The sequence below is a fragment of the Homo sapiens genome, chromosome 3, assembly GCF_000001405.40.
Source record: "Homo sapiens chromosome 3, GRCh38.p14 Primary Assembly".
Taxonomy (NCBI): Eukaryota; Metazoa; Chordata; class Mammalia; order Primates; family Hominidae; genus Homo; species Homo sapiens.
This window is the reverse complement of record NC_000003.12, coordinates 120,618,430-120,646,062: the sequence shown is the minus strand read 5'-3', so window position 1 is coordinate 120,646,062 and position 27,633 is coordinate 120,618,430. Positions and strand designations below refer to the sequence as shown.

The window sequence follows — 27,633 nt, the reverse complement described above, 5'->3', positions numbered from 1 at the left end:
TAGAATAGTATACAGACATTGGAGATAAAGACGGCATGTAATAGATTTCTGGTTGCATAGTGTGTACAGGAAAGAATATAGAAGTTTGGGTTACTGTGGGCTTGGGTCACCAGAAACAGCTCCACAGAAGAGATGAGAATTTGACTAATTCTTTATGAAAAGTTGAGGAGAGTAAAGAGGAAAGGGAACAGCTTTGCAAAAGCATATAAGTGAGAATAAGCTTTGTGATTAGGAGGAAGATATTTTTGTTAAGTCAGTGAGATTTATAATGGATTGGTTTGGATTGCTTTTTGTTTTGCATATTGTATAAAATGGGAAGGCCATAAAAATGCCCTGGGCTGTATTCCTATGGAAAGGAGGGATGGACTGGGTGACACATAGTCTATGAACCTCTGTGTACACCCCACCAAATCCACACACTTAGCAGTCAAAAAAACACATCACTCAGTGCTATGAGAGATCTAGAAACCACACCCCAGGAGGCAGATTAAAACATTCCAAAGTGAACCAAGGTCTCCACAGCCCCCATTCTTCTGGCAAGCTGGAGGAAGTGAAAATGTTAGGAGGGGTTGTTCTCAAACTGTCTCTTGGATTGAAAGAAATGGCTGGGAAAATTGGCCCTTGGTTTACTCTTTGGTCACATCTCCCAATTCTTCCCTTCCTTGTCAACAGCTTTTTAGAGCAAACAGGGACAGGCCAGTGTGTGCCTTCTGGTCAGCTCCTCTGAGGAATCCAAATATGCAGAGGAAGGTGGGAGGCAGCAAGAGGCAGCTGGAGCCGTGGTGGGCCGTCTGTCATCCTGTTCACCTCCCACTCTTCCCACTCTGCTCTGGCTTCCTGCTGCTCTATAGTCAGCATAGCCTCCAGGTTCCGTGGAACATGTACCCTCTGGAAAATATCTATAATTTGCTAACCAGCCGGGGACTTATTTTTTTAAGTCCAGGAGCTGGAAATGATAAAACACTCCTCAGCTCGCTCCTCTCAGAGTTAAACTGTTTTTGCACTTAAGTTTTTCATGTTTGGTCTTTTGATTTATTTCCTTTCTCTGGAGGAAACACTCACTCCTAAGCAAAGGTAAGCAGGCAGGTCCTAAATACTTCTTCCTGAGTGGCAGACAGGGTTTTTCAGGCTGGAGAACCGTTTTCAGACTGGAATCTGAGTTCTGTCTAGGGAGCAGAGGCATGCCTTAGGCAACAGCGTGTAACCCTTTCTATCTGAGATCAAGGACTGTCAATGACTTCTAGAATATTCAAGGGTTCCTTCAAAAGAAAAAGTTCTGGAGTTCTATCAGATCTTCCCTTTTCCTCTTTTCAGTTCTCTTTCTCTCTTCCCTTCCCCTCACCTGTAGTGATAAGATAATGCATATAAGATTGTTTTGTTAACCATAGTCACTCCACAACCTTAGAAAGTAATGCTGGTTTTTGTGAATTTTTTTCTGACCAGATTCCTTGGGTCTTCCTAAAAGGTACCAGACTGGAAATGCAGTGAATCTTTGAGCAATGAAAGCAATTTGTGGAGTAGCTCTTGACATGAAAGAAAGCCTTTCTCTTCATGCAACCATGGGCATCTTTCCTATGTTTTGGAAGTTTCTAAAAGACTTTTGGGTTACTGTTTTCTAGGGGCCAATGGCTTGGCCAATCCTCGTGATTTCTTGATACCCATTGCCTGGTATGAGGATCGCCAAGTACCAGGTGGTTACACGGTCATTAATAAATACCAGGGCAAGCTGTTTGCTGCCAAACAGGTAAAGTAAAAGGGTTGGCAGGCAAGGGAGGAAATGAAGAGTGATTGAGCACTTACTGATTGCCAAGGCGAGTGTTACAAACTTTACATATATCCTTTCGTTGTTATCATACCACTACGGCACTACAAATAAAGCAAATAGTTCTAGTAGTCAATTATACTTTCATAGTCATGGAAAAGGCCAGTAATGATAAATAATTTACCAATTTCACAGTAAGTGGCAGAACCAGAATTTGAACCCATATCTGTCTGACTCCAAAGGTTGTGCCCTTTCTACTCACCAAGCAATGAAAATATTAGCAATATGTAGGTTTCTATAAGTGGTATGGAAAACATAATATATGGGCAGCATAATATGTTCTGAAAAGTAAATGAGTTAACAGATCAGCCAAGATTTATAGTCTCCAATACCACCCTATTTCAAATACAAGCAATTCTACAAAACAAGTAGAATTCAGTTAATTAGCTTGGCTTGGTTTGTACCACCAGGCTGGCAATTCAGGACACAAGCAAAGGCACAGATATTAATAAATAATAATAACAACAATGTAATATGGACTCTATAACATAATATATTACTAAATGTACTGAATATATATTAGAATAAAATAATCATATAATAAGAAGAACCCAAAGATCTCTTCTGTTTAGCATTATTTGTTTGCTTCATTTTGTCTATTTGACTTATTCCTTATATTTTCCAAGGTATGTTATTCTTCTTAGGCAGCATCTAGAGATAATGCCAACCAGCCGAGGCCAACCAGTTTGGCACTTAAAATTAACCCCTGAAGCAGACATATTGTTATTCTCTTATTCTCTGGGTCAAGGTCTCTCAAAATTCGGGGGCTATTTGCATCAGAAATCCTCAAGGAGGCTTGTTTAAAATTCAGATCCTAGGCTGGGCATGGTGGCTCATGCCTGTAATCCCAGCAGTTTGGGAGGCCAAGGCAGGCGGATCACCTGAGGTCAGGAATTCAACACCAGCCTGGCCAACATGGCAAAACCCCGTCTCTACCCAAAATACAAAAATTAGCCAGATGTGGTGGTGCACACCTGTAATCCTAGCTACTTGGGAGGCTGAGGCAGGAGAATCGCTTGAACCCAGGAGGTGGAGGTTGCAGCGAGCCAAGATCATGCCATTGCACTCCAGCCCGGGCGACAGAGCAAGACTCCCTCTCAAAAAAAATGCAGATCCTTAGATACTACTCTAGCCTTGCAAAAAATGATAAGCTTTGGAGATGGGACATGGAAACCTACATTCATTTTAAGCATGTTCCCCAGATCATTGTTTACATACAATTGTTAAAGAACCACAATTGTAGAAGCAGCCAGTAGCTCCTCCGAAAGGTTTGCACTTTCCAAGTGGACCCTGTGCTGGTTATTTTCTGTGTGAGTCCCCACTGATCCATTCTCCCTCTTTGCCATGATCTGTGCCCTGGAAGGTTGACTGTATCACCCGGGCTCCCTAGCCAGCTGGTTTCTGTTGGGTTCAACCCACAGGAAACTACAAGGCAGGAGGAAAGACAAATTGGGATATTTCTTCCCCTGCTTCCTCGCTGTTTAGGACTGTGTTTCTGACAGTAGCTGCATCCCCCATATGACCTCAGTTCCTGTTGGGTAGCCCTAGTGGTGGGCTGGAGCTGATTCATAGTGACTTGCAAAAGCTGATATGCACGCTTCTGTCCAACTGTGTATTTGTTGATGTCATACTGGTAGCTAGAAAATCATCATGGTGAGACTGTATACACCTTAGAAATCAGTAAACACTATATGTCAATGCTTTATGTATTTTTTTCAGAGTGCTAGTTGTGAAATATTTACCAGCACACCACTGGGTAACACCCTTCTTTATAATTCTAGCTCTTGCTAAAGTCCTATAACAATATTTCCCTCCTCATTCCACATGCCCAGGAATAGCAGTGTCTTCCCGCTATTGCTAGGCTCAGATACCTCAACATTTCTAGTCATTCCAGTTAACCCTAACCACGCCTCTATGAGTAGCGCCTTCATTAAAATCTTTAGCACTTTCGGACCCATAGATACAGAAGGGACCACCTTCCTATAGCAGGACACTGATCCTCTTCTACCCCAGGACAGGACCAGGAAGTATTATGTTAGGATTGCTCTGAAATCTCAAGTCCTTGGAGTTGGAACTTTTAGAGGCCTTCTCCCCTCTCCTGGACTCACCAACCCAGGCACTGTGTCTATTGCAAGCTCCTCTAGGCTGAAATTACCTGGAGAAGCATCACAGCAGGTACTCTCTGTTCCAGGAAACAGAAGGTAGCCCAGATTGTTTGAGAACTGCTGACATCCACAGATCCTCACAGTTAGGTTAAAAATTGTTGAAAAGGCACTACTTGGAGAATGTGCTGTGTTTCTGCTGCATGTGTGATCAGAAGGCAGCTGCAGCTTATGAACCAGAAAAATAGGGTTAGTGGCTAAGTAGAGGGTGTGTGGAGCAACCACAAAATGATTCAGGGTTATACTTCTCCCAAAGGACGGTAAAATTAAATCGAGAACAAAATCAAATCAAAAGAAGAGAGAGGTATACTCAGTACATATTGTGGGATCACAGCTACAAAAGCATTAGATGGTAAAATTATCCTTTCCTGCTTTTTGTGTTTAGGATGTCTCCCCGTTCAATGTTGTGGCCTGGCACGGGAATTATACACCCTACAAGTACAACCTGAAGAATTTCATGGTTATCAACTCAGTGGCCTTTGACCATGCAGTAAGTCTGAACCCTGTAGGGGCCTTGGGATGAGGCAACGCTTGGGTGGGAGGGGTCCACAGTAGACCCCTGACATTTACAGATCTAACATTTCCAATGTCACCATTGGAAGCCCTAGATATAGTCATTTGTCCTTTGGTGAGGGAGTAAATAACACAACTAGTAGGGAAGCAAAGCCAGATACTCAACATTCCCCTGTGAACATAGCTTCATTCTCTACAGAGCATTGGTGATACTCTGACTTGTATTTGCCAAACTAAGTGGATAAACACTTAGTTTCTTTGTGGAAAATTTATCCCCCAAAACAACCAAGTGTTAATGTCGGTGGTAGAATGAGGAGAAAGGAACTTTATGAATTTGGAGAAGTCCCTGACCCCACAACTCTCAAGAGCCTCCTCTATGATCTCTGACTTCTCACCCCAGTGCCTTCATTCCTGGCTGTATTTGGCAGTGACAGAGTGAACAGCCCACTTCTAAAGTTACTCATAACTTTCAGTGCTTGAGTTTAAACCAAAGAAATTCTAGAGCATGAACTTGGTCATATTTTTCACTCAGTTCGCAGGCCACAAATGGTCTCTGGTCTACAGTGCAGGCTCCCAAGACCCTACATTCTTAATAAAGTGGTGGTTCTGAGACCCCGGGGGGAAGTTCATTTTGCAGCTCACTTCATAAGAGATGAACCTAACCCACAAGCTGGAAGGATAATTAGAGCAGAAGTCAGAGACTCAGAGGCAAAAGGATTATTGTGAGCCAGTTCAGTTTATCTCTGGGGGGACAAACCTACCTCTCCAAACAGCAGCAACTCTTAATAAAAGCAAAGGGGAAAAGAAAAGTGAGACATCAGACCCCAAACAAACAGCACGAAAAAGGATCCTGAGACACTGATAAAGCTTTATTTGTGATTCACTACCTTTGCTTTAATAGTTTCAGATCATGTCCCATGACAGTTGAAGAAATGTCAATTCTCACAGCAATAAGGGTTGGGTTTATTTTTATTTGAATTTACACAGATGCGATCTTCTCTGTATTGCTGCAATAGTTATTTTTCCAAAATTCAGTTCTGATCATGCCACCACTGTCTTCATTAGAAAGCCTTTGCAGGCTTCCCATGGCTTAGGATTAAGTCTGCACTCTGAAGCATGGTGTTTGATGCTCTTCACCATCTGTCCCTGGACTCATTTTCCAGTATCACCTCTTGCCCCTCTCCCTTCTGTCAATGCACTGGGGTTTTAGCCTTCTCTCCTCTTAACAAAATCTCTGTGCACTTTGATGTGTTTTCAGTGATTAAAATGTCATTTCCCTTCCTTCCCACTTCCTTAGTCCTCCCTCCCTCCCTCCCTCCCTTTTTCCCCCATCCCCGCCACGTCCTTCCTTTCTTTTTTTTTTTTTAACTTTTATTTTAGGTTCAAGGGTACATATGCTCCTTCCTTCCTTCCTTCTTTCCTTCCTTCCTTCCTTTCTCTCTCTCTTTTTCTTTCTTTCTGTTCATTCTTGAAGACCTACCTCAAATGTCACCTCCTCTTTGAAGCCTTCCTTGACCCTTTCAGGTAGAATTAGCTGCCCAACCCCCACCCCACAATTAATGCTAAAGAAGCAGGGAATCGATCCCCATGATCTTTGAATCTCCAGACTCTTACATGGCATCTGAAAGGGAACATGATTGTTGATTTCAATTAAATTGAATCTCAACCTTCTCACTAAAGAATTCTGAAGAGTTTTAAAAAGTATAATTTCGTCCCTCAACCTATCCTATCTCTACACTACCACTATGAAGACTACGGATGTAAATGCTGTGTTTTAGACCTGAAAGTCAAACAAAGGTAGGAAAGCAATGAACCACTTCTCAGACTTTTCTGCCAATGGATACAATCTGGAATCTCCGTATTCTCCCAAAGAGGAGCACATCTACACCAAAACTTGGATTTTGCTTTATTTCTATTTCTACTTTGCTCTGAGCATCCCTTCTGCTGCACATCTCAGCTCTAGTCAACTTGATCTGAGGTTGAGAAGCAGGCACCGTTGGTTCTCAGACCCACGGGGTAATAAGTTGCATGTAATGTGGGCTCAGCAGGGTGAAAAAGCAGTTCAGAATCCTTTTAGCTGGTGTTAATTCATTTTGCCTCAAGCACAGCAAGAGGAAAAAGTCATATGAGTGATTATTGCACCTTGATGACAAGCCCAGACTTCTGTTGTTTGATCAGAAATTAGGCTGTCCGTTTGCAGCAACATGGATGCAGCTGGAAGCCATAATCCTAAGCAAATTAATGCAGGAATAGAAAACCAACTTCTGCATCTTTTCACTTATAAGTGGGAGCTAAACATTGAGCACCCATGGACATAAACATGAGAAAAATAGACACTGGAGACTACTAGAAGGGGGAGGGTGAAAAAACTACCTATTGGATACTATGCTCGCTACCTGGGTGATGGGATCCTGTATTAGTCCATTTTCATACTGCTGTGAAGAAATACCCGAGACTGGGTACTTTATAAAGAAAAAGGGGTTTAACATATCCACAGTTCCACATGGCTGGGGAGGCCTCACAATCATGGTGGAAGGCGAAGGAGGAGCAAAAGCATGTCTTACATGGAGGCAATCAAGAGAGCATGTGTTGGGGAACTGCCCTTTATAAAACCATCAGATCTTGTGAGACTTATTCACTATCATGAGAACAGCATGGGAAAAACCTGCCCCCATGATTCAGTTACCTCCCACCGGGTCCTTCTCACAACATGTGGGGATTATGGAAGCTACAATTCAGGATGAGATTTGGGTGGGGACACAACCAAACCATATCAGATCCCTACCCCAAACCTCAGTATCACACAATATACCCATGTAACAAAACTGCATATGTATCCCTCTATCTAAATTAAAAGTTGAATAAAAATAAATAAAAAAATTAGAATGTCACTTGCAAACACCTTCATGTATGCATGAAATGTGTGTCATTGTCCAGTCACTTCCCTTGCATCATGCGTTCAGTCTCTCCTTGTGTGTTCACAGGACCCATCCATTTTCACAGTATTGACTGCTAAGTCTGTCCGCCCTGGAGTGGCCATTGCTGATTTTGTCATCTTCCCACCTCGATGGGGGGTTGCTGATAAGACCTTCAGGCCTCCTTATTACCATAGTAAGTCTCTCTTTTACCAAGCCACATTTGCAAGCCAAAGAGACAACAAAGCAGTGAGCGCTACACATTGGGAATAATGCCTGGGTTATTTCTGGACACCCACCATGGCATGAATTCAGGATCCTGCTGCACAAGGCCTAGTGCTGATCCCCAAGCTTTAATCTCTTTAAGGGATGGTAGTTGTGTTAGTCCATTCTTCGTTGCTATAAAGGAATACCTGAGGCTACTTAATTTATAATGAAAAGAGGTTCATTTGGCTCGTGGTTATGCAGGCTGTACAAGCAGCATGGTGCTGGCATCTGTTTCTAATGAAGCCTCAGGAAATACAATCATGGTGGCAGGCAAGAGGGAAGCTGGCATATCACATGATGAGAGCAAGCAAGAGAAAGGAGGAAGTCCCAGCTTCTTTTGAACAGCCAAACCCCATGTGAACTCATAGAGTGAGAACTCACTCATAACCGTCATGATGGCACCAAGCCATTTATGAGGGATCTGCCTCCATTACCCAAACACCTCAAACCAGGCCCCACCTCCAACACTGGGGATCACATTTCAACATGAGAGTTGGAGGGAACATACATCCAAACTACATCAACAGTGATGCATTGATTCTGAGCCTAGTTCCCAGTTTCTCTGTCCCTGTAAGAGGCAGAAAGGCTGGTAAAGTTTAGAAGCCTTGTTAGAAAGGCTTCTAAACAAGTTTCCTCACATTTTAGATGTTTCCTTTTGGGGAATACTGGGGAGGTTGTTAGTTAGTCTGTTGTTTTGGGAAAGTTCATCACCTAAGTCTGGTTCAGAGAACCAGAGAAATAAGAAGAGAGAGACAGAGAGAGACAGAGAGAGAGACAGAGAGACAGAAATGTGCCTTCTCCAATTATTTTGGCAGGGCAAAGCAGACTGCAGCCTGCATTAAGGAATGAACTCTATTCTGGAAAGAGTTTCTGCAGAACATTTGTTGCCTAGTACAAGACCTAACAAATCTACTATTTTTATTTTATTAATATTATTATTCTTAGCACCTAATAATTATTGTCCAATTTCTATGGCTCTGTTACAAGTTTTTTAAAAAACTAACTCATGAAGTGTTTATAATACTTGTAAGAGACAGGTAGTATTATTGTCCCCCCCGCTTTTTTTTTTTTTTTTTCAGAAAATTAAACTGACACAAGAGGGATTAAGTAACTCTCTCAAGGACTCACAGCAAGTTAAGTGTAGAGTCAGGATTTAATTGCAGGCTGTCTGATACCAGAGCAAACACTCATGACCACTAACTGGTATGGCTAGCATAGTGCCTGATATATAGCATGCTTTTAATAAATATTTATTTAATAAGTGAATGCATCAACAAGAATAAATAAAGTACTTCACGGCTGTACTTAATGAGGTTGACATTTTTAATTGTGCAATAGCTAGCTGAAAATCCAATCAAAGGTCAATGTGCAATTCTACTTCCTGGAGTGTGCATTTTTTTGTGCATAGAGTTCTGGAAAGACTCTAAGAGGCATTCCACCTGGAACATTCTAGAAAACAAATTCCTTTCTTTAGTAAACTCCAGGGCCTTCTGTTTATAATAGGTCCCTCTCTATATATACCAGTTCCCAGGTGTCAGGGCTCAACAGAACACAACAGTGCACTGAATGGCCAATTTAGCTATTTTATAGCATCAGGAATGAAGGCCCTTAGGATGGACGTAGGCCACTCCATGGTCAAATGCCAGCATCCCCCTTTTCAGATGGCACCATCATGGTAGAGAAAAGAAAACAATCAGTTACCATGGCAAAGACAGCAGCTATTTTGTGAATAGCATCATAAGTCGTTTCTAAAAACTGTGAAGCCTACTAAAGACTCTAACTTTTCTCCTCCTGGAAGTTAGTGACCTAGAGGACCTGTTGTCAAGGAGAGAAAATTGCCCTGGCTTATAGTCTGTACTTCGCATGTTACTCCTTAATAATTCACCATTTCACTCTTGTTCTTGTATTGAGGTTACTCTGTGTGCCTGTAGTGGTTCTTACATTTTACCATGTGTCACAGTCAGCTGGAAGGTTTATTAAAACACAGATTACTGGGCTCCATCCTCAGAATTTCTGCTTCAGTAGGTCTGGGATAGGACCTAAGAATTTGCATTTTTAACAAGTTCCCACAAGTGATGCTGAATCTGCCTTTTTTTTTTTTTTGAGACAGGGTCTCACTCTGTCACCCAGGCTGGAGTGCAGGTGGCACAATCTCAGCTCACTGCAACCTCCACCCCCCAGGCTCAAGTGATCCTCCCCGCTCAGTCTCCTGAGTAGCTTGGACCACAGGTGTGCACCACCACACCTGGCTTTTTTTTTTTTTTTTTGTATTGTTAGTACAGACGGGGTCTTGCCATGTTGCCCAGGCTGGTCTTGAACTCCTAAACTCAAGCAATCCACCTGCCTTGACTTCCCAAAGTGCTGGGATTACAGGCATGAGCCACCATGGCTGGCCAGAATCTACATTTTTCACTGGCAAGTCAGGGGATTCTGATGAAGGAGGTTTACAGACTGCTTGTTGAGAAATACTGGCCTAGGGTGTGTCCCCATCCCTAGGTGGAGGAATAATAGAGTCATCTGATTTAGACAAGTTTGCTACTGTGCTATAGGGTCTCAACCCATTCCTTAATTTTTATTTGTAGTTCAGACTTGCTGACACAAATAATCTTGAGAGATGCCTCCTATAGTTTTTTAATGACTCTCAAAGTAAATTTGGCCCCAGGGTAGATCTTATAAAGGTATGGGTACCCTGAGTTCGTTGGGAAAAAACCACAGAACCCCAGGTTAGAAATGAGTTTTCCAGAGATATTAAAAATATTGCCTTGGCAATACTCAAAATCTTTGCTGCTTTGATGTGACTTTATTATAAGAGAAAATGGAGAATTATTTCTATAGAAATATTGCCTCCAGTCATCTTAATGTGCCTTAGTCAACTAGATTCAGCTTTTTTTTTTTTTTTTTTTTTTTGAGACGGAATCTCACTCTGTCTCCCAGGCTGGAGTGCAGTGGCGCCATCTTGGCTCACTGCAAGCTCTGCCTCCCGGGTTCATGCTGTTCTCCTGCCTCAGCCTCCTGAGTAGCTGGGACTACAGGCGCCCGCTACCACGCCCGGCTAATTTTTTGTATTTTTAGTAGAGACGAGGTTTCACCATGTTGGCCAGGATGGTCTCGATCTCTTGACCTCGTGATCCACCCGCCTCGGCCTCCCAAAGTGCTGGGATTACAGGCGTGAGCCACTGAGCCCGGCCTAGATTCAGCTTTAATCAGAAAGGCAAGGTCTATCCTCCCACTGTCCTTTGAAATATAGAAAATGATATAGAAATGTCATCACCAAGCTCACTGCTATCTAAATTCATATTCAGATCAAAGCTGAATTCTGTTTTGCTCTCTTCTTAAAATTAAGCCATGAAGGTGACCCTGAGGACACATACTAGAGCAAGGAGCTTGACACCAAATTTAAGTCATGAGCTGAACTGTTTTTAAAACATAGACAATTTATGCTTACATTTGCTTCTTTTTCTGTATTTCCACTTCATAGAGAAACAAGTAGAACTATGATCTGGGTCTCACCTCTTCAGCAGGAGCTCACACACTCTCACTCACTTTGTAGGGGCCTGCAGTAGCTTTCTGTTTCTGAGCAGGGTGGGTGTGGCTGCTTAGTCAATTATAAAAGCATTTGGCACTTGGTTATACTTCACATGTAAGCAAGAAGGGCAGGCATGTATCATGTCCAGTGTTTGATTTTGTAACGGTTGCCACTGCCACATCTCTCTATTCTGTCCTTGGTTTGCCCTCTCAGTACTCTCACAGGACAGACTATGAGTAGCTTTAAAGGCTATGTTGTTGTTGTTGTTGTTAATTATTTCTTTTTTAAGTAGCTTTAAAAGCTATTTCTTATTCATCTCTGTCTCATGTTAGCCAGCACATATCTAATTATATGTGCTGGCTAACTGGATGGGCAGATGGGTGAAGTGGGAAAAAGACAGATGAATGAATGGGTAAGTAGATGTGTGGTTTGAGATGCAAAGGCACTTAAATTTGCCCAGGTGTTATATTTCTTTAATTCCTGCTCTATGGTATTGCTACTCTAATAAAGAGCTTTATTTCAATAGAAGCATAAGATTGGAAGAGTGGAAGCATGGTGATTTTTGTTAAATTTTGTGTGACTCTAGAAAGCACAACTAGGACCAATGAATTTAACTCATATAAAAGCAAATTTCCATTTAATATAAGAACTTTCTTACACACAGAGCTCTTCAATAATATGATATGCTTTGTAGAGTGGAGAGCTTCCATTCACATCCAGGCAGAGCCCGGGAGGTAATCAGTCAGGAAAGATATAGAAATTTCTTCTACATTGAGTAGAAGTAAGGATACCTTCCAATTTCAAGATTTAGGACTCTATGAATAGGGTATCAATGGAACTAGAAAAAATAAAAACAAATCCAAAAGACATTCTGAAGAACAGAAAAACAAGAGGATAACAGATTCATCTATAGAAGATAATATTTGTTATAATAAATAGCATTTATGGTCTGTTTTATACACATACCAAGATTCTTTCACACAGATTATCATTTGATAATGGACTTTAAGTCTGGGGTTCTTTTCATTACATTATCATCTATCATCCATCAAAACCACACACCCTCAATCTAAGCCTTCTAGATTGGGAATTAGAAATATGCTGTTGCTGTGTCCTACAGTGGAGCTACTTGGGAAAGGGTTATGATCTGGGAGATAAGATAACTTTGATACAGGGCTCGTAAGCTTAGATGATAGAGTACATTCGCTCTCTATTATGACTAGCATTTTAATTATTATTATCTTCTCTGGGCCCTGATTTTCTTTAGATCTAGCCTGATTCCTGTCAGAGAGTGGAACTCGAGACCTCTGATAATCCACATGGCCATGGAGTAGAGCTGTGCCTGCCAAGAATGCCAATATGAATGTTTTATGATTGTTCTTCTGTCAATCCATATTCTTTATTAATCCTATACAATTTACTAGTTTCTCCTGTGTTCTTGGAATTCTGCAGAAATAATGTTTAAGGGGCTTTGTGTTTTACTGGTCTTGCCTTGGATAATAAAAATAATACTGCTTCAACCTTCCCAGGGAACTGCATGAGTGAGTTCATGGGACTCATCCGAGGTCACTATGAGGCAAAGCAAGGTGGGTTCCTGCCAGGGGGAGGGAGTCTACACAGCACAATGACCCCCCATGGACCTGATGCTGACTGCTTTGAGAAGGCCAGCAAGGTCAAGCTGGCACCTGAGAGGATTGCCGATGGCACCATGGTAAGTATGTTAACTGCCACATTCCAGCGGCCTCTGAACTCCCCACCCTTACTGAGAGGGGTGGCCGTTTTTCATTTCTCCAAAGTCACAGAGGAAGAGTCAAAAGAGGGAGAGTTAATGACTGCATAAGTATGTTTACATGTATATATACTCACATCCTTGTGTATATACTAGACTTCTGTTGTGGTGGTGTAGAAAGATCGTTGGACTTGGAGTCAGACCTGGGTTCTGAGTTTAAGTCCCATCTCTTAGTTCCTACAGGATCTTGAACAACTCACTTAGCTTCTCTGTGCTTCATTTTCCCCATCTATAAAATGGGTATAGTATCCAACCCAGCAGATGGCTATGAGTTAACCTAACAGACTGTCCAACACTATTCAAATGTAAGGGAACATTATTAATACTATGTGAAGCCTCTTCCTGTATCCTTATGCAGCCCTGGGCATATGCTATGTCTCAGAGTCTTCTGCGTTTTGAAGTAATCCTCCAGGGCCACAGTAGTAGCGGAGGCAGGATCTCACCTTCAGCACGTGTTTCAAGCCAAGGAGGGTCAAAAAGCCCTTGCCTCACTATAGTCAGGGCTTGTGAGAAGCAATTCTCAGCTGTTTTTTGCATTTTCCTTTGCTCTGCTTTGGCATGGATGCAACTGATGGGATTTAAAACCTGTTTTGTATTCTTCCTGTGTCAGGCTGTAAACATTGAGGCTGAACACAATTGCAGCTGGCTGCGGTGCTTGATTTTATTTTATTTTTGCATTCTTCGAGGTAGAGTTTATGGTCCACAGGGAGTAATTTTATGCTAAATCACATGCAAATTTGCTTTACTTTTGAAAATAAATGCCTTCAATGCTACCTGGTTTAAAATCTATAGCAGAGACCTGCCTGCTTCATGCTTGCAAACTACCTAAACAGTGAGCATTATCTGTCCGTCTGTCCACTGCAGTTTGCTTTCAGTCCCAACCCTGGAGCCAGAGTTGGTGGAGCTCCTTTGCAAAAGGAGGGTGTTCAGAGTCCCATTTGCTTGCTTTGGCTCTATTTCCCCTTTCAAGGGCCTCTATGGAGTTTCTGTAGAACCCCTACATCTCAAAGAGATGCAGTCTGGCAGTCTCAGTTAAGCTATTACCTCTGAAGTCTCCTGGAGGTGCAGTCCTGGAGGCTATTCTAGAGTTGCCACTCAATAACCTTTGGTCCCCCAATTTGGCTTTGGGTAGTCAATGTTATGAGGGAGCTGTGTTTTACAACAGTGAGGCGTAGGACAGGGCTGTTTCTATGAGGAGCAATACTTTGAATTACTAGTGAGAAAGAGCTCTCCTATTAGGATGGGAGACCCTGGGTATCAAGGAGCCAGAATACCTGATGGCGGAGGGTCCAACATCTTACCTAGACCTAACTTTCAGTCGTCCTCACCATTTCCCATTATATAATTCAGACCCAGGTCTATCTACATGCCTTATCCTTATTCTTGTTTGGAGTGATTAACTTGGTACAATAGCATCTTCAAAGTCAGCTGGGATGGGGCTTTTGTTAATCCAGCCAAATGGAGAGGCTTTTAAGAAGCAGTCAGCAAAGAGACAATAGCAATGGCCATAATGATCCTTGTATGTGAATAGTGCTTTTTAAAAATCTTTATTACTTATTATTTATTATTTTTATGGATACATAATAAGTATGTATATTTATGGGGTACATGAGATATGATGATACAGGCATATGATACGTAATAATCACATCAAGATAAATGGGGTATCCATTACCTCAAGCATTTATCCTTTGTGTTACAAACAATCCAATTATATTCTTTCAGTTATTTTAAAATGTGCAATTAAATTTTTATTGACTATGGTCACCCTGTTATGCTATCAAATGCTAGGTCTTATTCATTTTTTTTCTTTTATTTCTTTATTTATTTTTAACTTTTATTTGAGGTTCAGGGGTACATGTGAAGATTTGTTATATAGGTAAACTGATGTCACAGGGGTTTATTGTACAGATTATTTCATCACTCGGGTACTAAACAGTACCCAATAGTTATTTTTTCTGATTCTCTCCCTCCTCCCACCCTCTATTCTCAAGTAGGCATCAGTGTCTGTTGCTCCCCTCTTTGTGTCCACAAGTTCTCATCATTTAGCTCCCATTTAGAAGTGAGAACATACAATATTTGGTTTTCTGTTCCTCTTAGTTTGCCAAGGATAATGGCCTCCAGCTCCGTCGTGTTCCTGAGAAACACATGATCTTGTTCTTTTTTATGGCTGCATAGTATTCCATTATCTGTGTGTGTGTGTGTGTGTGTGTGTGTGTGTGTGTATGTGTGTGTGTATGTGTATATATATATATATATATATATATATAAAGCTCTTAAGTTTAATTAGATCCATTTGTCAATTTTTCTTTTGTTGCCAATTGCTTTTGATGTTTTTGTCATGAAATCTTTGCCCATGCTGATGTCCTGAATGGTATTGCCTAGGTCATCTTCCAGAGTTTTTATAGTTTTGGGCTTAACATTTAAGTCCTTAATCCATCATGAGTTGGTTTTTCTATATGGTGTATGGAAGCGGTCCAGTTTAAATCTTCTGCTTATGACTAGCCAGTTGTCCCAGCATGATTTATTGAATAGATAGTCCTTTCCCCATTGCTTGTTTTTGTCAGCTTCATTGAAAATCGGATGGTTATAGGTGTGCGGCCTTGTTTCTGGGCTCTCTATTCTGTTCCATTGGTCTATGTGCCTGTTTCTGTATCATTACCACACTGTTTTGGTTACTGTAGCCTTGTAGTATACTTTGAAGTTGGGTAGCATGATGCCTCCTGCTTTGTTCTTTTTGCTTAGGATAGCCTTGGGTATTTGGGCTCTTTTTTGGTTCCATATGAATTTTAAAATAGTCTTTCCTAGTTCTGTGAAGAATGTCGTTGGTATTTTGATATGAACAGCGTTGAATCTTTACATTGCTTTGGATAGTATCGTCATCTTAATGATGTTGATTCTTCCTACCCATGAGCATGGAAAGTTTTTCCATTTGTTTGTGTCTTCTCTGATTTCTTTGAGCAGTGTTTTGTAATTCTCATTATAGAGACCTTTCACCTCTCTGGTTAGGGGTATTCCTAGGTATTTTATTCTTTTTGTGGCAGTTGTGAATGGGATTGCATTCCTGATTTGGCTTTCAGCTTGACTGTTGTTGGTGTATAGGAATGCTAGTGATTTTTGTACATTGATTTTGTATCATGAACTTTGCTGAAAGTTGTTTATTGGTTGAAGGAGCTTTTGGGCTGAGACTATGGTGTTTTCTAGATATAGAATCAGGTCATCTGCAAACAGGGATAGGTTGACTTCTTCTCTTCTGGATGCACTTTATTTCTTTCTATTGCCTGATTACTCTTTGCCACGACTTCTAAGACTATGTTGAATAGGAGTGGTGAGAGAGAGCATCCTTGTCTTATGCTGGTTTTCAAAGGGAATGCTTCCAGCTTTTCCCCATTCAGTATGATGTTGGCTGTGGGTTTGTCATAGGTGGCTCTTATTATTCTGTGATGTGTTCCTTCAATGCCTAGTTTATTGAGAGTTTTTAACTTGAAGATATACTGAATTTTATTGAAAGCCTTTTCTGCATCTTGAATAGCACTGTATAACTTGCATAGCACTTCCATATGATCTCATCCAGTCTTCCCATCAAGCCTGTCACAGGAAATCAGGCAGCGATACTCATATCCATTGTTTTAGACAAAAATAATTTAATGTATATTAGAGCCCAAACATTAATGTGGGTGCTTTGGGTTGTAGCACAAGATAATTCTATTATTTTCCTTTTGCCTGTCTGTATTATACAAATTTCCAAATGTGAGCATATAAGAATTGTAGGGTTTGGTTTTTGGGTTTTGTTTTGTTTTTAAAGCCACAGTGGATAAGAAAAGTCAGCAATTGATGAAGCTGTAATGTCTAAGATGCACAGAGTATTTACATATTCTTTCTGTTGTGGACAAAAACCTCCTGACAGTGCAACATCCACCATTCAGACACTTCTGAGATATGACTTTTAAAAGTGCTACAGCCATTCCTGCCATTTCCTTCACCTCCCTCTCCTCCCCACTCCCTTTTTCCCTTTTCCCAGCCCATCTCTTGGTCAGAGTCCTGAAAAGACAGGCTCAAATCCCAGTTCTGCGATGACTTGTCGCCTTAAGCAAGTCGTTTCCCAGCTCTCAGCCTTAATTCCTCCTCTGCAAAATGGGAAGTATGACTTTCCTCACAAGGACATAGCCACAGTAAGTGAAGGCCCTCAGAAGATGGATATTCCCAGGATTCTCCCATGTCTGCCCTTGGATCTAGCAGACTTAGTTCCGTAATACCATGAAGATAATTTGAAGCTTAAGGGCTGAATTTTATTTTACAGAATGAAACTTGAGGCCCTGAGAAGTTAAGGGTCTTGTACCAGGTCTCACCAGCTTACAAATGGTAGGACCAGAGCCACAACTCAGGGCTTGAGCCTGCTCTCCTCACCACTCTAGCACACAAATCTTTGATTTGTTATTGGAAGATTTCACCTACCCATACCTTCTGTTGACATCTAATCAAATGTGTTTATTATCTATCTCACCTCTTTTTTCTCATCCCCATCGTCACTTCCTCCAGGCATTTATGTTTGAATCATCTTTAAGTCTGGCGGTCACAAAGTGGGGACTCAAGGCCTCCAGGTGTTTGGATGAGAACTACCACAAGTGCTGGGAGCCACTCAAGAGCCACTTCACTCCCAACTCCAGGAACCCAGCAGAACCTAATTGAGACTGGAACATTGCTACCATAATTAAGAGTAGATTTGTGAAGATTTCTTCAGAATCTCATGCTTTCTGGTAGTATTGGAGGAGGGGGTTGGTTAAAATGAAAATTCACTTTTCATAGTCAAGTAACTCAGAACTTTTATGGAAACGCATTTGCAAAGTTCTATGGCTGTCACCTTAATTACTCAATAAACTTGCTGGTGTTCTGTGGACGTAGTGATTGGTCATAATCAAGTCTTGATGAGACAAACCTGGCAGGTCAGGTCAGTCTTGCTAAGATTGAACCAAGGCCCAGGGCCCTTTGCCTTGTGGTTGGCCTGAATGCCTTCATTCTAGGAGCACAAGTCCAGGCATATACTAGGTATCACAAGACCAGGCCATAAGGCCAAACGTTAAGACCATGAGCTGAGACTGGAGGTATGGCAAAGCTCTTAGGAGCCAATCCAGACATGGGGAAATTTAGGGGATCATGAGTGCTCCAAATATCCAGCTTTCAATCGATGAGGAACCGGGCCAATAGGCTGTCTAATCTTGGTAGTCACGTAGCAGCCAATATGATGATACTGGAGAAGAACACCAGCCACCAAGAAGTAAGAATCACTCCTTTTCTTGGGGTGACCAACTGTCCCAGTTTGTGCAGGACTATATCAATTTTTTCACTGAAAGACCCACATCCCAGGAAACCCCTCAGTCCTGGTCAAACCAGGACAGTTAGTTACCCTACCCTTCACTCATTTATCAATCCATTCGGTAACCACATGTTGAGTCCTTACTACCAGCTACAGTTGAAGATGCTGGGAATGAAGGGTTGAATAAAAAGAAGCAGGCTGTCCCCTTAAGGAGCTCACAGTCTGGAGAGATAAGGGCCAAAGAAAATCAAGGCCCGAGTATAAGGCCATGATAAAAATTTCCACTGTGTGAAAAGCTGTACCTACCAGTTCCCTTCCTATGGTCAGCATCCCTCCCAGAGCGCTGGGCTGCCCAAGACTTTAGATGTGAGTTGATTAGAGTCTCCTGGTGTGAAAAGACAGGCAAATCTGAACAGAAATATGATGGAAAATGATATTTTTCACTACTTCAGTTCTGTACTTTGCACATTTCCCCAGCTTTGTTGCCATAGTAGCAATTTTGATATGCTGCTACCAAATTTTCATTCAGTAAGATGTAGTGAGAGTCAGCTATGTGTCAGGGCCTAAGGATTAGGATTGCCAGATAAAATATATGAGGCCCAGTTAAATTTAAATTTCAGACAAACCACAAATAGTTTTTAGTGTAAGTATGTCCTATGCAATACTTGGACATTCTTATGTTAAAAAATTATTAATCGATTACCTGAAATTCTAATTTAAGTGGGCATCCTGTATTTTTATTTGCTAAATTTGGCAATCCTACTAGGGGTAAGTGGTCAAGGAGATAGGCATGGTCCTGCCCTTACCAAGGTTACATTACAGAGAGGGAGATGACATGACTTCCCCCTGGAGAGATAGCAAATAAAATAAATAAATAAATAAATAAATAAATAAATAAATAAATAAATAGAGGGAGTTCGAGTGCCGTGGCTCACACCTATAATCCCAGCACTTTGAGAGGCCAAAGCGGGCAAACTGCCTGAGGCCAAGAGTTCAAGACCAACCTGCCCAACATGGCGAAACCCCATCTCTACTAAAAACACAAAAATTAGCCTGGCATGGTGGCACATGTCTGTAATCCCAGTTACTTGGGGGCTGAGGTATGAGAAATGCTTGAACCCTGGTGGCAGATGTCGCAGTGAGCCAAGATTGCACCACTGCACTCCAGCCTGGTTGACAGAGCAAGACTCTGTGTCAAAAAAAGATAATAATAAAATAAAGAGAGGGAGACAACAAAATAAACAAAAATATTACAAACTGTGGAACGTGCTGAGAAGAAATCAAACGGGGATTGATATGGAATAACAAGTGGTATGAGCTAGGAGAGCTCTTTCTTCAGAGGAAGGAAGGTCTTCAGTGAAGATGTGACTTTAACCAGACCTAAAGGATAGGAAGGAGCAAGTCATTGGAAGAGCGGGGATGGGGAGAGGTGGGAAGGGGAGAAGCATTTTAAGAAAAAGCCTCATGGATTCAAGTGCCTGAAAGAGGAGTGAATGTGGGGTGCCCAAGAGGAAGCTATTGCGATAGTCCAAGCAAAAATAAACCTTGTCCTGAACTAATGAGGTAGCAGCAGAGACAGAAGTGGATAAATTCCAGAATGTTTTAGAGTAGACCTGAAATGACTTGGTGGATTGGATGTAATGGGTGACTCAAAGAAGAGTTAAGGACAGGGCTGGGATGACTGCTAGGTTTCTGGCAATGGTATTTCATGGTCTCAAAAACTAAGGTGAAGATATCTTTAAGGCTGACGGAGGTTGATACATTTTTTTTTTTTTTTGAGGCAGGGTCTCACTCTGTCACCCAGGCTGGAGTGCGGTGGCACAATCGCAGCTCACTACAGCCTCAACCTCCCGGGTTCAAGCGATCCTCCCACCCTCAGTACTGAGTAACCGAGACTATAGGCTCACACCACTACACCCAGCTGATTTTTTATTTTTTTGTAGAGACGAGGTCTTGCCATGTTTCCCTGGCTGGTCTTGAACGCCTAGGCTCAACCTGTCCTCCCACCTTGGCCTCCCAAAGTGCTGGGATTACAGGTGTGAGCCAACATGCTTGGCCCCGATATTCTTTCATATAAAAAAAGTCTATTAAAAATTAAACATTAACTAAGCAAAGAAGTCAGTACTTTAAAATAAGTTTAAAAATCGACCACTGTAGCAGAGGCTGCCAGTGGCTTACCTACATCCCATCAGCAATCACCATTCAGTGCCAACTGGCTGCTTTCTATTGCCAGCACTGGCAACTCTGCCTGAAGCCAAAACCAGAACTCAGCCAAAGTGCTTAGGAATGAATGGCCTTGGATGTAGCCTTAAACCCATGACAAATAGGAATTAGTGGATTAATACAGCAGCTCTGTCACCTCATACCTCTGAGGTTTGTGTTCTGCCCTGGCTCTCTGCAGCTCCCAGAGGAATTCTGCTCCAAGTGCCCACATGGCAACTTCTTGATAATGCACCCATTATTCACATCCTTCCCTTCCCTCTCACTTCCCCACTCTCCTAGGGTACTTCCTGGACTCTTCTCTCAACCAGTAACTAAGACAACCACTGAAATATTTCATTCACAAACCCCAGGCTTCCCCTTATGAGTTCATTCTAACACTATTCTTATACACATATATCAACTCTCACCCATTTCAGCTCACTCTACTCTCAATTTGGTGGCAAAGCCTTCCTAGGGCTAATGCAACATTCCTGGTTGACATCCACTTAGCACCCAAGCCCTTTTACTTTGTCACCCCACTGCTGGCTGCAACTCCTTAGTTGGAGGCAAGATTTCATCCAAGCCAGACTGTTCATACTAATTATAAGAAGATTTCATTTCCTTTTGTTGTGCCTCAGATCAGCTAGAAAGTTTCCTGTATCATTTTCTTAATTCCGTTTTCTAAGATGCCTTCCTCTACCATGCTCCCCAAGAAATATGCCATCTCTTTGCTTAGAAATAGAAAACCTTAAAGAACAGAAAGCACCCTGATTAAGTTTCTTCCAATGACAGGAGAATTTTCTGCCAGATCCCCTTGGCATCTCTCTCTCTCTCTCTCTCCATATATATATATACACATATATATACACATATATATATATACACATATATATACATATATACATATATATATACATATATATACATATATATACACATGTATATATATATATATATTTTGTTAGAGAGGGTGCAATAACAGCCACCTTCTTTCTTTCTTTCTCAGAGATGTCTTTCACAGCCCAGACTACTAGCAATGGCTCAGGACTAATGGTGCTCAACAGAAGCAATTTTGTCCTTCCCACCCCAAGACATCTGGCAAAGTCTAGAGACATTTTTTGTTGTCACAACTGGGGAGGGTGCTCCTGGCATCTAGTCAGTAAAGTCTAGACGTTCTGATAAACTTTCCACAATGCCCAAGACAATCTCCCACAACAAAGAACTACGTAGTGCTGAATGCCCATAGCACTGAGGTTCAGAAACCCTCCTCTAGAAACAGTGGTTCTCAAGTTCATCTGTGCATTGGATCTTTTGACAACTCCATAACTCACAGTGCCCAGAGCATGCCTCAGATCAACCAAATAGAAACACTAGGGATGAGACCCAAATATGATAATTTTTTTGAAACTCCTCAGGTGATTCCAGTGCACAGGCAAGGATGAGGACCATTGTTTTAGGAATTTCAAATCAGTATCCAAAACACCCTCTATTTCCAACCTCAGATCCTGGTCCAACTCAGGGACTGGTTTTGTTTTATTTATTTTTCAGGGACAGGGGTCTCACTATGTTGTCCAGGCTAGCCTCAAATTTCTGGGCTCAAACAATCCTCCTGCCTCAGCCTCCCAAGCAGCTGGGACTACAGGCATGTGCCACCAGGCCCAGCCATATCAGGGTTTCTTAAGGTGTACAGAAAGGAGGTGAAAAATCCCTGAGGCTCCCAACATTTGAGTAACATAATGGGATGAGCTGAGGTATAGAGTGAGGGATTGCCCTTCAGGGCAGTGTTAGATATGAGTTCTAAATTTCTTTTCAAAGAATCAATATGTCAGTATGTTCAATTCTTTGCCTTCTACTTTTAAACTTAACTTTCTTGTAAAGCAACTTTTTTAATTACCTGCTCCACCCTGACTCATGCCGATTATCTACTCTGCCCTGACTCATTCCAATTACATGCTCTGTCATAACCATTTTTCCCGACGAACCACTCACCCCTTCAGTCTGTTTAGATTAGCCAGTCGTAATTAGTTTAGCCTGTGTGATCTAACCCTAGCCAATAGGGGAATGACACAGCAGCAGGGGCCACATGCGTCAGGGATAAGAACCCCTTCCCCTCCCTTGTCCAAGTGTGTGCTCACCATTGCTCCATCTGTAAGGGCGCACCCTTCTATATAAGTAACTTGCCTTGCTGAGAATTAAAAAGAAAATGTTATATCTGAGTGCTATTTCTTTTGCAGCACCAAAACTTTATTTATAACAATTTGGGGGCTCATCCGGGATTACATTCCACTCTGGGGGCAGTCTCTGGTTCTCTCTCATGAGGAGGCATGCCCCGCCCCCTTGTGGTGGCCTCAGGGGTGAGAAATCAAGACTCACCCAGTGCAAGGAATAACCTGAGCTCTCAGCAACATGGGAAAAAAAAAAAAACTGGCCCACAACCTAGCTTAAAGGATCCTCACATACTGCGACAATGACTCTGTGCACAGACCAAGGAAGGAGAAGCCACAGGAGCTGGTAAAGTATTTCCTTGGTGGTCGAGACTAAGGAAAAAGCTGCGAGGCGGTAAATCATTCCTTGGTTAGGACATACCAAGTAGAGAGAAACTGCAGGGGCAGTAAAGCATTCCTTAGTTAGGACTAGGGAAAGAAAGCCACAGGGGGCAGTGAAGTATTCCTTAGTTGGGAAGCCTTGGAGGTTAAAAAGACGTGAGAAATCCCCATGATGGGGAGGTTGAACCTCAAAAAGAGGTAAGAAATCCCCATGAGGGAGGGTTAAACCTCAAAAAGAGGTGAGAAATACCCATGGGGGGATTGAACCTCAAAAAGAGGTGAGAAATACCCATGGGGGGGGTTGAACCTCAAAAAGAGGTAAGAAATCCCCATGGGGGGGCTGAACCTCTAAAAGAGGTGAGAAATCCCCATAAGTGGGGGGTTGAACCTCAAAAAGAGGTGAGAAATCCCCCATGGTGGGGGTTGAACCTCAAAAAGAGATGAGAAATCCCCATGGGGGACGTTGAACCTCAAAAAGAGGTGAGAAATCCTGATGGGGGGAATTGAACCTCACACAAACCTCCGGTAGTAAGAAAAATATTCAGAACTCCCCTTTCCTTTCTTCTTGGGGGAAGAAAGAGTAGCTCCACTCCTGCCAGTCCCTCCTCCAGGGGAAGGGGAAGGAGACTGGAGAACAGCAGCCTAAGCAGCTGGCAGAGGCAGGGAAAGAACAGCAGAGAGGAAAGAGGGAGAGAGAGAAAGTGGGGGGGAGAGAGAGAGAGAAAAGAGAGAGAGAGAAAAAAAGAGAGGGGAAAGAGAGACAGAGAAAGGGGAAAGGGGGGAAGAGAGAGGGGAAAGGGGGGAAGAGAGAGAGGGGAGAGAGAGAGAGAAAAGAGAGAGAGAAAAAAGAGGGGAAAGAGCGACAGAGAAAGGGGAAAGGGGGGAAGAGAGAGAGGGGAAGGGGGGAAGAGAGAGAGGGGAAAGAGAGAGAAAGGCAGAGAGAGAGGAAGAGACAGAGACAAAGAGGGAGTCAAAGAGAGAGAGAGAAAGAGAGAGGGAGAGAAAGAGAGGAAGAGACAGAGACAAAGAGGGAGTCAAAGAGAGAGAGAAAGAGAGAGACAGAAAGTCAAAGAGAAAAAGAAAGAGACAGAAGTAGTAAAGAAAAAACAGCGTACCCTATTCCTTTAAAAGCCATGGTAGATTTAAAACCCATAATTGATAATTGAAGGTCTTCTCCATGACCCTGTAACACTCCAATACCACCTTGTTGCCAGTGTAAACAAGGGCATAGCCCGAAAGCACTGAGGCCACTGACAACCCGTAGCCTTCCTGTCAAAAATCCTAGGCCGGGCGTGGTGACTCACTCCTGTAATCCCAGCGCTTTGGAAGGCCAATGTGGGCAGATCATGAGGTCAGGAGATCAAGACCATCCTGGCTAACACGGTGAAACCCCATCTCTACTAAAAATACAAAAAATTAGCCAGGCATGGTGGCGGGTGCCTGTAGTCCCAGCTACTCAGGAGGTTGAGGCAGGACAATGGCGTGAACCTAGGAGGCGGAGCTTACAGTGAGCCGAGATTGCACCACCGCACTCCAGCCTGGACGACATAGCAAGACTTCATCTCAACAACAATAATAATAATAATAATAATAATAATAATAATAATAAATAAATAAATAAATAAAAATCCTTAACCCAGTAACCCGCGGATGGCCCAAAAGCATTCAATCTGTAGCGGCAACTGCTTGGCTAGCAGAAGTAGAAAAATAACTTTTAGAGGGAACCTCATTGTGAGCACACCTCACCAGTTCAGAACTATCCTAAGTCAAAAAAAAAAAAAAAAAAGGCAAAAAGGTAGCTTACTAAATCAAAAATCTTAAAGTTTGGGGCTATTCTGTTAGAAAAAGATGATTTAACATTAATCACTGATAATTCCCTTAACCCAGCAGGTTTCCTAACAGGGGATCTAAATCGTAATTAATTACCATACAAAGGTCCGACAAGACCTAGGAGGAACTCCCTTCAGGACAGGACAACAATAGATGGTTCCTCCCAGTGACTGAGGGTAAAAGACACAATTGGTATTCAGTAATTGATAGGGAAAACTCTTGTAGAAGTAGAGTTAGGAAAATTGCTTAATAATTGGTCTGCTCAAATTGGAAGCTGTTTGCACTCAACCAAGCCTTAAAGTACTTACAGAACCAGGAAGGAACCATCTGTACCAATTCTAAGTTAATTTAGACTAAACAAGATCTTATTAATAGCAAAGGATAATTGAAATCCCAAACTTACAAGGTTTTCAACAAAAGTAAAGTTTGCTAAAAGTTAATAGTGTAACATGTATTATCCTAACTTCTAATCTTGAGGCCTTAGACAGTCTAGTCCACAGACATGAAGGAAGTTTACTTTGGAAAAGAATGGTTATCATCTTTGTGTAGAAAGGAATGTTATATGGTAAAATCTTGTCCTAAAATAAATTAACTGGTTGTTTAAAGAAAGGGATATTTGCAACAAGTCAGAAAGTTGAGGCATGTCAAACAATTGACTGTGAAAGTCGTGAGAAAAAAATGTTATAAAAGGGAATTTATGAAAGATGTGTTGTATAGTTTAAAAGTAATTAGGCCTCCTGAATGTAAAACTATTGAAGAAACAGTTTATGTGCAAGGTGTATAAGGAAAGTAAAATATACCTTTGGTAAAAGGATTATAAGGAGGCATAAAAATGTGGATTTTTATCTATTAAAAGGTTAAAAAATACTTTGTTTTAAAGATTTAAGCAAGTTTTGAAATGTTAATTGTGAAGGAAATTCTGTGTGTAAACATATTCGCTAAAGTTAAAGGGGTATCATCCAGTTTGTCTGTGAACTGGACATTAAAATAAAAGCACAACAGTTTTTTCTTAAAGCACTAACCTGCTCTTTAACAAAAATTATAAAAGGTTAAAAAGAGCCTATAAAAATCTTACCCTATGGTCAGACATTAAAAATTGGATAAATATGTCTACAAGGTTTTATTAAAATTAAGTTTAACATGAATAACACTAATATAAAGGTGAAGTTTAGCTTATTTGGTATAAAAATCATACAGGAAGCATTGTCAAATATAAAATGGTGTTTGGCTTTCTTTAGTCTAAAAGCTAATAAAAATACGTGCTAAAGGAAATTTCTCAGTAAGAAGGCACCGAGGACTATAAAGTCCACTGCTGATGTCCCCACATTTAAAATAAAAGATCAATTTCTTAGAAATTATATACTTGGTTTATATACTTCCACTTTATATTATATACTTCCACTTTCCTTTCCCTCAAAACTGAGTCTTTTTGCATAGGTACCACCCCTAGAATTTCCAGTAAACCAGCACCAGCCTGAGGATCACGTTCTCATCAAAGGGTGGAAAGAAGGAAAACTTGAGCCAGTCTGAGAATGACCCTACCTTGTGCTGCTAACCACCGAGACTGCTGTTCGCACAGTGAAAAGGGGATGGACTCATCACACCCGGGTCAAGAAAGCACTGTCCCCCTCCAGAGTCATGGGCCATAGTCCCAGGGGAAAACCCTACCAAACTAAAGCTAAGGAAAATTTAACTCTTTCATCTATGCTATTACTCTTTCTTCTATCCTCGCTCTATTGCTGACCATCTAGTTATTAACATAACCAAGTCAATTTTGCCTCAAACTATTACATTTAATGCTTGCCTTGTTATACCCTGTGGGGACTTGCCAAGTCAGACTGCTCTCTACTTCAGAAAAGTACGTTTGTCCCTCCTGACTCTCCTCAGACTGGGCATTAGTGAATTGGGACCATTTAATCTGAGGAGACTTCAATAAAAACCCCAGTGTCAACCAGGATTCTTGCTCCCTGATGTAGAGCTTTTATGCCATAGTTGGTCCAATGTTCTTTGGACCACTAAAGAGCAAGAATGGACTGCCACAACTGGTTTTTGTAATTTCCTAAAACCATACATTCATTTTACTAGAGGGACAGCCCCCCGCCACCAACTGTCAGCTAAACCGGTGCAATCCTATACAGGTTATTATCTCGAACCCTCAAAGTTGTTCCCCTTTTCTAAGCCGGTTCACTTCTTTAAGCCTGTTTTATGGTATGGGGGCTAAGGTTTCAGGAACAGACCCTTTGGATTCTTTGAAATGCATTTCTTTGATCCCCCGCCACCTGCACCTTCCTCTAAGCCTTCTTCCAAAACCTCTTACAATTGAACAATTGCTCCTCCGCCATCTAACGACAAGACCAAGATAGCTATCATAGAAGTTAAAGACTTAAAACAAACTTTGGCAATTAAGACAGGATACCAAGATGCAAATGCCTGGTTGGAATGGATCAAATATTCCGTCCACACATTATACAAAAGCAGTTGTTAACGCTTATGCGCACGGCAGGCCAGAGGCCCAGATTGTCCCCTTTCCACTAGGGTGGTCCTCCAGTTGATGGGGCATGGGCTGCATGGTAGCTCTTTTCCAGGATTCTAGAGCCTGGAGTAACAAGTCATGCCATGCTCTCTCTCTGCTATATCCCAAAGTCCAGCACCCTGCAGGTCAGCCCCCGAGAGCCATCCAGCTTCCATCTCCCAACACTAAGTTCACTTCGTGTATCTCATGACAGGGAGGAAACTTAGTGTTCCTT

The 27,633-nt window shown here is 41.8% G+C and overlaps 1 protein-coding gene across 8 annotated transcripts in view, besides 1 other annotated feature; it reads left to right on the top strand.

Annotated features, from left to right (window-relative positions):
• Positions 1-17,891, top strand: part of HGD (homogentisate 1,2-dioxygenase) — a 54,068-nt gene extending 36,177 nt beyond the window's left edge. For 2 of the 8 annotated variants that reach the window (NM_000187.4, XM_017006277.3), the window contains exons 10-14: positions 1,620-1,744; positions 4,370-4,474; positions 7,482-7,608; positions 12,735-12,916; positions 17,534-17,891. In NM_000187.4, coding sequence (NP_000178.2) covers positions 1,620-1,744; positions 4,370-4,474; positions 7,482-7,608; positions 12,735-12,916; positions 17,534-17,683 — 689 coding nt within the window. In that variant the 3' untranslated portion in view covers positions 17,684-17,891. The other 6 variants (XM_005247412.3, XM_005247413.3, XM_047448058.1 and 3 more) reach the window with 6 other exon arrangements.
• Positions 3,067-4,266: an enhancer, noted in NCBI's record as "BRD4-independent group 4 enhancer chr3:120360644-120361843 (GRCh37/hg19 assembly coordinates)". NCBI's record gives its function as "activates an origin of replication core promoter dependent on BRD2, P300/CBP, MED14 and CDK7 cofactors, and independent of BRD4, by STARR-seq in HCT116 cells {active_cell/tissue: HCT116}" and the evidence as "EXISTENCE:reporter gene assay evidence [ECO:0000049][PMID:35650434]".